The sequence below is a fragment of the Homo sapiens genome (genome assembly GCF_000001405.40).
Source record: "Homo sapiens chromosome 1 unlocalized genomic scaffold, GRCh38.p14 Primary Assembly HSCHR1_CTG1_UNLOCALIZED".
NCBI lineage: Eukaryota > Metazoa > Chordata > Mammalia > Primates > Hominidae > Homo > Homo sapiens.
Genome location: NT_187361.1, coordinates 84,505 through 95,721, shown reverse-complemented (window position 1 = coordinate 95,721; position 11,217 = coordinate 84,505). Strand labels below are relative to the sequence as shown.

The 11,217-nt window shown below is 34.3% G+C and overlaps 1 long non-coding RNA gene and 1 pseudogene across 1 annotated transcript; one reads left to right on the top strand and one right to left on the bottom strand.

Annotated features, from left to right (window-relative positions):
- Positions 223-4,301, top strand: ANKRD20A13P (ankyrin repeat domain 20 family member A13, pseudogene; annotated as a pseudogene).
- A 1,988-nt stretch (positions 4,302-6,289) lies between these two features.
- LOC124905319 (uncharacterized) lies at positions 6,290-11,208 on the bottom strand. The gene is made up of 2 exons (XR_007068531.1): positions 10,777-11,208; positions 6,290-7,744 (listed from the first exon to the last, which is right to left on the bottom strand). It is a non-coding gene; the product is annotated as an uncharacterized LOC124905319 (long non-coding RNA).
- Positions 11,209-11,217: the final 9 nt, after the last annotated feature.

The window sequence follows — 11,217 nt, the reverse complement described above, 5'->3', positions numbered from 1 at the left end:
AATTATTCCATTCACTCAAACAGAAATGAGCAGACTTGACAAAAATTTCAATGATAAAATGATAAGTATCTTATAATTATTATGTATAATGATAAAATTAAAGTAAGCACAAAATACTTTTATCATTAAAATGGTGATAGTTAACCTGAATCAAGTGAAAAAATCAGGGAAAAAGTTTTTTTATTGAATAAAATAATAATTATTATTCATATTACTTTTATTAAAGGTCAAAGAAGGAAATAATACAAACAAAAGTGAAAAAATACAACTATCAGAAAATGTATGTCATAGTACATCTTCTGCTGCTGCTGACAGATTAACCAAACAAAGAAAGGTTGGGAAAACGTATCCTCAGCAATTTCCCAAGAAACTGAAGAAAGAGCATGATAGGTAAGTAAGCCTATAGCAGTGTGTTTTTGTTTGTTTTTTGTTTGTTTGTTTTTTTCTGAGATGGAGTTTCTCTCTTGTTGCCCAAGCTGGAGTGCAATGGTGTGTTCTCACCTCACTGCAACCTATGCATACTGGGTTCAAGTGATTCTCCTGACTCAGCCTCCCTAGTAGCTGAGATTACAGACATGTACCACCATGCCTAGCTAATTTTTTGTATTTTTAGTAGAAATGAGGTTTTACCATGTTATCCAGGCTTGTCTCGAACTCCTGACCTCAGGTGTTCTGCCCACCTCGGCCTCCCAAAGTGCTGGGTTTACAGGAGTGAGCCACCGTGCCTGGCCACCTATAGCAGTATTTCTCAGCAGATAATTGTAATTGTGCTATAAACTAATTCAAAATTGGACTAATGTTCCTTATGATTAACAAGTTTTATAGTTTTACCAGGGATATTTAGCCCTGCCTGGTAATCAGAAAAATGCAAATTAACATAAAATAAGATATATTTTGTAAAGTCATGCTGATATTGAAAAAGTAATTACTACCATTGAAAATGTGAGGAAAAAGGCATTCTCATACACTGTTGGTATATGAAATTGGTAAATTATTTCTGAAGGGTAACTTAGTGCTGTGTATCAAAATTTCAAATAACCTGACATCCCTTTAACTCATCAACTCCACTTCTGGGACTAGATTTCACAGGAAAACATAACTTGTGTAAACATACACACACTTATTAAGGGCATTAATTATATATTACACATAATGAACAATAGCTTAATAAATATATAAAATATATGTAATAAGAAGGTGAATTGGAAGTATTAAGAAAGAATTATAAAAAGTGTGGGGTAACAGATGTTAGACTCTTTAGCCTAGTTTTAGATGACAATCATCTACAGATATAGTTTGTGTGAGAGACATCTTACTGTGTAAATCATTTGGAGAGACACATACAATATTTCATAGAGATGAAAATTTATTTCTAGTGAACTTACACGCTTGTCAATAAATAGTAACTTTAAAAATTTAGTTGATTGTAAATGATCTTTTCTAATCGGGGAGTAATTATGACTGTGTGATTTGAAAAGGTAATTTTGAACTTCTAACTATACTGAATTATTTCCAGTATCCTTTTTTATAATACATACTAGAGTGACTAGTAACAAAAACTTTAGCAGAATATTCTTTCCTTACTACTTTTCAAGTATATACATTCGTTTGAAGATGTTGGAGTGAGAAATTAAATATCTGAGAACTACAAAGGAAAAATAATCCAGAACATAGAAATTTTATTAGGATGATAAATAGCATCTGCAGAGGTAGATTACAGGATGATCTCTTTGTTTTTTAACAAAATGAATTTTAAGATAAATGTCTTTATCTGCAGATGCATCTTAAGACAAGAAAGTGAAGAAAAAACAAATGTTAATATGCTGTACAAAAAAATAGAGAAGAATTAGAAAGGAAAGAGAAACAATATAAGAAAGAAGTTGAAGCGAAACAACTTGAACCAACTGTTCAATCACTAGACATGAAACTGAAGACTACAAGAAATACTCCAAATCAGATAAATCAATCTTTGGTAAAAATTCTATATTTTAAACTTTATTTTTTCAATGTCACTTATAATATCTTCTTGATTTAATATATAATATTTTGGTATAAAACAAACCAGAAATGTTATCTCATTTTCAAAAAATGAATGATGACACTTACAGGTACAATTATTAATATTTATTATAAATCTTGGCATCCACATAGGATATTATTTTATTACAAAGAGCTTTTGAAAACAATAATATGCCATAATATATACTTAGTGATAACCTATTGATAAAGATTTTGTTCCCAGTAAAATTGTTCCTTGTACTTCCAGCTATTTCATATTGATTACTGTACCTAATACTATAAAGAGGAAATAAATTATTGCAATCACAAATAATCTCATGATATTCTAAGAAGAGCTCTATAAATTTTATCTTATTTACCATTGGTGTTTTGAAAGAAAACTTTTCTTTCTTATTGATACTTTTACACCACAGAAGTAACTGTGATCTGTCAGAGAACTAGAAGTAGAGTCAGAAGTCCTGGGGAAAATCCTGTAGCTTGCTTATATTTTTAACATTTCTTTTTCAAAATTGTGGTAACTAGATGAGTTCATCAATGAATGTATACAGGAGTGACTAGTATAATGTCTAGATTTATGATTTAGTAAATGTAATTCTTACAACTGACTATAAAAGTGTTAAAAGAGTCAAATTGAAATAGAATGTTATCAGTGAAACAGAACTGTAGTAACTCTGGGAAATTTTATCTGTCCAAATACGTGTGAAGTAAGGTTCTTACTATAGGGTAGTGTATGGGTTAGATATCAAAGTGTAAATGCAATTTTTTGATATATTTTAATTTAGTCAAATTTGTTAATGCTTTAATTTATGCTTTTGAGTTTGTTGTAATTCAGGGAAAGGCTTTTCCAATTCTGAAATTCTTAAAAATTCTCTGGTGTGCGTGTGTGTGTGTGTTTACTTTTATAAATTCATTGACTTTAAATAAATTTCTGAACTTTTTTGAACTTATGCTCTATAAGGTTCAAAGTTTTGCTTCAACTTTTTCTCCAGTTGGATATCCACTTACAGTAACCTTTTTAGTATATGGACGTGCAGGTTATTCTTTAACTTCAGAGGTAATCATGATATGTTATTTTATTGAGTACTAGCTAAAACTTTCTTTTGTTTTATTTAGGATTTTCGTAATCACGAAGAAATGAAAGATCTGATGGATGAAAATTGAATTTTGAAGACAGATATTGCTATACTCAGACAGGAAATATGCACAATGAAAAATGACAACCTGGAAAAAGAAAATAAATATCTTAAGGACGTTAAAATTGTTAAAAAAACAAATGCTGCCCTTGAAAAGTATATAAAACTCAATGAGGAATTGATAACAAAAACAGCATTCCGGTATCAACAAGAGCTTAGTGATCTCAAAGCTGAGAATACAAGGCTCAATTCCGAACTGTTGAAGGAAGAAGAAAGCAACAAAAGACTGGAAGCTGAAATTGAATCATCAGTCTAGACTGACTGCTGCTATAAGTAAACACAGTGAAAGTGTGAAAACAGAAAGAAACCTAAAACTTGCATTAGAGTGAACACAAGATGTTTCCGTACAAGTAAAAATCAGTTCTGATATTTCCGAAGTAGAAGATACGAATGAGTTTCTTACTGAACAACTTTCTAAAACGCAAATTAAATTCAATACCTTAAAAGATAAGTTCCGTAAGAAAAGAGATACTCTCAGAAAAAAGTCATTGGCTTTAGAAACTCTCCAAACGACCTAAGCCAAACACAGCAGCAAATAAAGGAAATGAAAGAGATGTATGAAAATGCAGAAGCTAAAGTGAATAATTCCACTGGAAAGTGGAGCTGTGTAGAAGAGAGGATATGTCAACTCCAACATGAAAATCCGTGCATTGAACAGCAACTAGATGATGTTCATCAGAAAGAGGATCATAAAGAGATAGTAACTAATATCCAAAGAGGCTTTATTGAGAGTGGAAAGAAAGACCTCATGCTAGAAGAGAAAAATAAGAAGCTAATGAATGAATGTGATCATTTAAAAGAAAGTCTCTTTCAATATGAGAGAGAGAAAGCAGAAAGAGTAGTAAGTATCAAGGAAGATAAATATTTTCAAACTTTTGGAAAGAAAATTTAAACATTTGGTTCTGGATACATGTTGAACTTAGTTGAATATAAAAATCAATGGATAAAAAGTGTGTTCACCATACTGTATAATTCCATTTACATGAAGCATCCAGAAAAGATAAATGTATAGGGAAAAAAGTAGACTAATGTTTGCAAAGGGCTGGGGCTGAAAGCTGGTAGTGACTGCTAATGGGCGTGAGGGATCTTGCAGTGATGGAAATGCTGTAAAGTTGGATTGTAGAGATGGCTGCACAACTCAGTAAATGGACTAAAAAATCTTTTAACATTAAGTTAAAACAGATACATTCTATAGTATGTAAATTATATTTCTACAAAGCTGTTTTAATAAAAAAAAAGGAAAACCGTGTTTACTATACCAGCTTAGAAACGTGCCTCATTTCTAGGAAATAAAAGGTAGAGGTGAGAGATGATTTACTTTGAGAAAAGACATTGTGTCACCTATGAAATTTTATTAGGCACAGAGTCATATTTTAAGGTAGATAGTTCTGTACTGCTGAAATAATAATTTTAATGACTTTATGTTGCCACATGTTAAGACCATAATGTAAGTATAAATGGAAATGTTTACACCTGAAATGAGTATTTTCAAATTAAAATTTAACTGATTTTCTTTGACACTTAATTCTAGATTTCCCAGATGAACTGAAGTGTATTGCTGTGTCTTGTAATACCTTGCTTTAAGTAACTTTTTATGTATTTTAGTTGGTATATCTTTGTTATTAATCATATTAATTTAACAAATCTGAAAATATGTCAAATTACATATTTTTATGACTATGTAATGTTATAAAGACACCTGCTTGTTATAAAATCATAATTTAGGATACATGTGGTAATATTTAGCAAAACTATATTTGGTTTAGTCTTCCCACTGGTATTTATAGTTTACTTTGAATATTTATATTAATAATTAGCTCCTAATTTTTATTTCAAGGCTCAATGACTATCATTGGAATATAATTTTGTTCAGTACAAAGATACTTGTAGCTGCCTGTGATTTATGAGTAAGGCATTAGATCCCTATTTTCAGACTGAGGGGTGGCAGGCTTCACGTACAGTGGGAATGGAGTAATTACAGGAGGGAGTTGTAGGACCTTTGAAGTCAGAGAGAGAGGTAGAGACCTGTTTACCTAGGACCTCAAAGGCCATTGGAATTTTACTTTTATTCTGAGATAGGAATCTGTTGGAAGGATTTGAACAGGTGATTGAATATGTCAGGAACTTTGAGGTTGAGTTGAGCTTCTAAGATGATTGAATGGTGGGATGAATCTGTTATGTAAGTAAGAGAATACCAACTTGGCAGGAAGAGAACATATTGTGCATCCCTCTCTGAATTCAGTAATAAATAAAAATGTGTACATGTGATTAAAAGAAGGTGAATTGATATGTGTGGTGATAATTTTCAAAGTAGGTATGTTAGAGTTAAATATTATTAACATAATTTAATAATAAGGCAATTTATAAAATCAGTAACAAAAATATTTTTCTCAGGTGGTTGTGAGACAACTTCAACAAGAAGCGGCTGACAGCCTAAAAAAATTAACTATGTTAGAGTCTCCACTGGAAGGCATATCACATTATCACATTAATTTGGATGAGACACAGGTCCCAAAGAAGAAATTATTTCAAGTGGAAAGTCAAGTATGTATGGAACTTAGCATGTCAACTGTTATTCTGTAGCTAGTTGAATTACATAACATGTTTTAGGATACTAATTATGGCAGAAGCTTGATTTTTTATTTTCATTACAATGAATTATTTCCATTTTACTATCTCTATAATGTACTTATTTTTTTATATAGTGACTTTCATTCTACCATTTTGAAAAACCATTGCATACCTTTTCTCTTACAATATGTACCCTTGGAAAAGTTGAGAATTATACATCATTCCTCATAGAAAACTGACTTTTGTCCTGTTAAAACAGTATTTTTAAGTAATTTTTGTATTGCTCTGATGAGGCAGGCCAGATTAAATCAGAGAAGAATGTTTCATGGAATGTTCCAGAAAATTGTCTTATTTCTTCACTTTTGTGAGTGGACACAGAATCTGTGTCTATTTATTTCACAGATTCTAGGTTAACTTGTACAGAAAGGTCATTATACTATTCTTTTAAAAGTGCATGTTTTAGGTTAATTTGCAAACTATTTGAAAAGTTAGGTATTTTCTTTATCTTTTATTTAAAATATACTATAAAACTGTGGAAATATTTAAATTTGAGATAACATGTACATCAAAAATTGAGAGTTGAGAAAATTATCTTGATCCTGCCTTTGGATTTTAAAAACAATTTCACTGAGATAACATTCACATTTCAGAGAGTTCAACCATTTAAAATGTACAACTCAGTATCTATTAGTATATTCACAGCATTTTCATCACCCTGAAAAGCAACCCCACATCTCCTAGGCATGACTGCAGCCTTCCTCCATGTCCCTCCACCTACCTCTGTTGTAGGCAACCACCATCTATCTACTTTTGTCTCCATATGTTTGCCTGTTCTGCTTATTTCATATACATAGAGTTATACAATACGTAGTCCTTTGTGACTGGCTTTTTCACTTAGCATAATGTTTTCAGAATTCATTTAGCATAATGTTTTAGCACACATTGGTAGTTTATTTCTTCTTATAGTTAAATGATATTCTATTCCATGGCTATACTGGTTTTCCATTCATTCATCAGTTGATGGACCTTTAGGTTAGTTTCCACTTTTTAGCTCTTATGAAAAATGCTGCTGTGAACATTCACTTACAGGTTATTATGTGGACACGGGTTTTTATTTCTCTGCCATTGGACTTTATCCTCAGAGTTAATTGGGCAGATTTCAGCACTTATCTTGCTCATGCTATTCTTTCTACGTTCTCAGTTTCTGTTCATCTAGCCTCATTCACTCAGACGTGGCAGACAATTTATTGTTTTCATGAAGCTTTCTCTGACTGTTCTCTCATTGACCTTATGTGTTAGCAATCATTGTCTAGTCTGTGCAGAAAAACTTAGTTCTTAATTTTACATGGCTTTTTTTATGGAAGATAATTTTCTCTCATTATAAATTTGCTTAATGGGGGAATAATATATAATATGTATGCCACCTATCCTTGCATACATTGAAAGTATTTTAGCTTAGAAGTTTGTAGCATACAATTCAATACTTTATACCATACCAATTATTTCTTCTTTGAGACCTTGACACAGTAAGGTTTATATTCTAAGTGTGTTTTTAGCAATTATATATCAAATCTAAACCAATTAGTTTAATACAGGAGACTTGTTAAATCACATATTTATGTTTTTCTCTCTATGAAAAAGAATCTAAATTGGCCTTTTTTCACTATGCAGCAGAACTGTATTTCTGGACTGCTACCAGTTTGTCAGCTGAACAGTTCTGGGTGCAGCTTGTCCGATGACGGATAGCACAGCACCTCAATCTGAGTGCTCAGCAGAGTGATTGTGAAGGCAGCACCACAGCAACAGTTGCTCAGAGGGAACGGATTCAGGAGCCTTGATTTAACAATAGAGTCCAGGGTTTTCAGCTCAGTGTCTTTAGCCTGTCTCTGCTGGTCATGTCAGTTATGTACTATTCAATCCAGGAGGTGCTGTTTACATTGTAGTACATACATAGTCATTGCCTAATGAGTCATACAGAGAGAAAAGTAAGTTATAAATTATGTCCCCCATTTGCTGCAACTCTCAGTGGTAAGAATGATTCAGTGCAGCTATAGGAGAGTACTTTCATTGGCATGCCACCTGCCTAAAATACACAATTTTGTTAAGATATACAATAAAATTATTATGCTAATAGCAAATATTTTATGTAGCTCACTATGTTCCACGTAGTCTTCTAAGTGTTTCGTGTTAGTCCCCAGTTAAACACCTGGTTTTGGAAGGCTGAAGCAGGAGGATCGTTTGAGCCCATGAGTATGAGACCAGCCAGAGCAATATAGTGAGACCCTGTCTCAAAAAAAAAAAAAAAAAATTAAACACTTATCTGAGGCATGGTGGTGCACGCCTGTAGTCCCAGCTACATTGGGAGGCTGTGGTAGGAGGGTCGTTTAAGCTTGGAATATTGAGGCTGCAGTGAACAGTGATCAAGCCACTGTGCTCCAGGCTGGGTAACAGAGGGAGACTCTGTCTCATAAATAAAACGTTTTGTATAGATTCCCATAGAAGTGAGTTAGACATCAGTCATAGAATTATTAGCCACTTTGATGTCTACCTTGGGAGTAAAACATATAATAAGGGGCAGCGTTAAACCATCTCAATCAATAGCCTCCAACTTCTCGAGAAGGTTCTTATTTCATGAATTTCTAAACAAGGGACTACCTGGATTAAGACATTTGGTGGACCCCATTTTGAGACGAAGAATCTTGAGTGAGAAGAAGGGAGATCTCTACTTACTGAAGCTTCCCAATGACATAGTTAAGTGTCCCCCAAAATAAACTTTAGAACAAGACTTTCATCATGCCATATCTCTATGGAAAAGGAATTTCTTTAAAAGAAAACAAAGGCAAACAATTGATAATATGATTCTCATGGGAAAGTTTTCATCATAAAAGAAAAAGAGGGCTGGGTGCCATGGCTCACGTCTGTAATCCCAACACTTTGGGAGGCTGAGGTACGTGGATTACCTGAGGTCAGCAGTTCAAAAACAGCCTGGCCAACATAGTGAAACCCTGTCTCTACTGAAAATACAAAAATTAGCCAGGTGTGGTTGTGTACACCTGTAGTCCCAGCTACTTGGGAGGCCGAGGCAGGAGAATCACTTGAACCCAGGAGGTGGAAGTTGCAGTAAGCCGAGATGGTGCCACTGCACTCCAGCCTGGATGACACAGTGTGACTCCATCTCAAAAAAAAGAAAAAAAGAAAAACAAAAAAGGGACAAAGTATACTGGTCCAAAAAAGAAGAAAGCAAGGAAAAAAGGACAAAGTATACTGGTTACTATCATAACAGTGAGATAGTCCCCCTTTGAGATTAGAAAATAATAGTATACTCAAAGTAACATTAATGAGAACCAACATAAAATAGACAACATTCACTATCTACAAAAGTAATCTGCACCAATTAGCAATGTATGAGCATGTGGTTGAGAATATTTTCTATAATATGTGTACTAGAAGGAAGAGACCTCAAGAAAATGGTCAGAGCTGGAAATGTAGATTAGGGAATCTAGGTCAAAGTTTTGAGATTTTAGGAATCCTGAGAGAATTTAAAAAGAGAAATAGCCACCAGGCATGGTGGCCACACCTGTAATCCCAGCACTTTGGGAGGCCAAGGCAGGAAGATCATGAGGTCAGGAGTTCAAGACCAGTCTGGCCAACAAGTTTCTTATATAGGTAAACGTGTTCCATGATGGTTTGCTGCACCTATCAATCCATCACCTAGATATTAAGCCCTGTGGGCATTAGTTATTGATCTTGATGCTCTCCCTCCTGACCCCAACAGGCCCCAGTGTTTGTTGTTCCCCTCCCCGAGTCCATGTGTTCTTATCGTTCAGCTCCCACTTATAAGTGAGAAGATGCAGTGTTTGGTTTTTTCTTCCTGCATTAGTTTGCTGAAGATATCAGCTTCGGGTTCATCCATATCTCCTGCAAAGAGCATGATCTCATTCATTTTTATGGCTCCATAGTATTCCATGGTGTATATATACCACATTTTCTTTATCCCATTATCACTGATAATGTCCATCTGGGTTGATTCCATGTCTTTACTATTGTGAATAGTGCTGCAGTGAACATGCAAATGCATGTATCTTTATAATAGAATAATTTATATTCCAACGTATGGTAATTTTAAATCAGTTTTGGTATTAAAAATCATGCATTTTGGAAAATATTGATAATGGAAAAATCCAAATTCTGCCAAAATATGTTGAGAAAATAGAGGGTAAATATATCTTTTCAAACTTTAAATGCCTCAGGCTCTTAGTTAATCTTCCCCAGATCTGGGAAGACCTAGAAGGGGAGAGATTGGGCTACCTTAATGAGGGTCATTTCAATCTCTTGGCCCTGCAGCAGCCATTTCAAAATACATCAAAAATATATTTGGGGGTAAAATATTTTGATTTCCTTCAGCTTCTTCTCTCTGTGATGCTGCACCAGAATCAGATTAGCAAGGAAGCCACATTATAAGTGTTAATAAAACCCATCTGATGAGATTTGATAATTTGAAGGGTGTGTTTCCCAGACCCTTTAGATAGAAATTGGGGCCAAAGAAAACAAGGTCTTATTCCTCTATATAAATCTGTCAGTGCTTTAAGCAGTGAAAGAAAGATTTTTCATTTAAGTTTACAGACTTGATACTAATGAAAAGGATAGCTTGTAAAATATAAATCTCTTTTTCTATAAAAGGGACATGTTGTTGATTCTCTTAGACCTTGAACCCTGGCCAGTGATTTGAAACCAAGCAGTACCTATCTCCAGATCTCTAGTACCAAATTAATTTGGGGTGGGGGGTAACAGGTTTATTGAGAAATAATGAACACACCATGCAATTCACTCATTTAAAGTATAGAATTCATTAACTTTAGCATTTTCAGAGAGTTATGCCGTCATCATTACAATTAATTTTAGAACATTTTCATCACCCTAAAAACAAACCCCACAGCATTTAGCCATCTTCACTAGTTTTCCCTTCCTCCCTCAGCCCTAGGGAACCACCCACCTTCTTTGTATAGATTTGCCTATAAGCCTCTGAAATAAAAAGCAAGTGGTCTGCTGGGACTGGCTTATTTCACTTAGCATAATTTTTCATGCTGCATCTGTGCTGTAGCAGGTATTGATGCCGGGTTTTTGCTCCTTAGTTCAGCTACATCTGGGTTCTTCTCTCGTGACCAGGAAAAATTAAGCATGCAGACACATTGAGGAGGGCAGAATTTATTATGTGAAAGGACAGCTCTCAGCAAAGAGAGGGGTCCTGCAAAGAGGTTTCCACCTCACAATTGAATACCAGGATCACATGAGCTGAAGCGGCCAGGCTCCTCCTCTGCATAAGGCGTGAATTCCTGGTGACTCCACCCCATCCCCCCACTGCATGTTGGCCTCCGGTCTGCTGTGGGCATGTCCAGGCAAGACAAGTCCAGGTTCCCTTATCTGCACATAACAT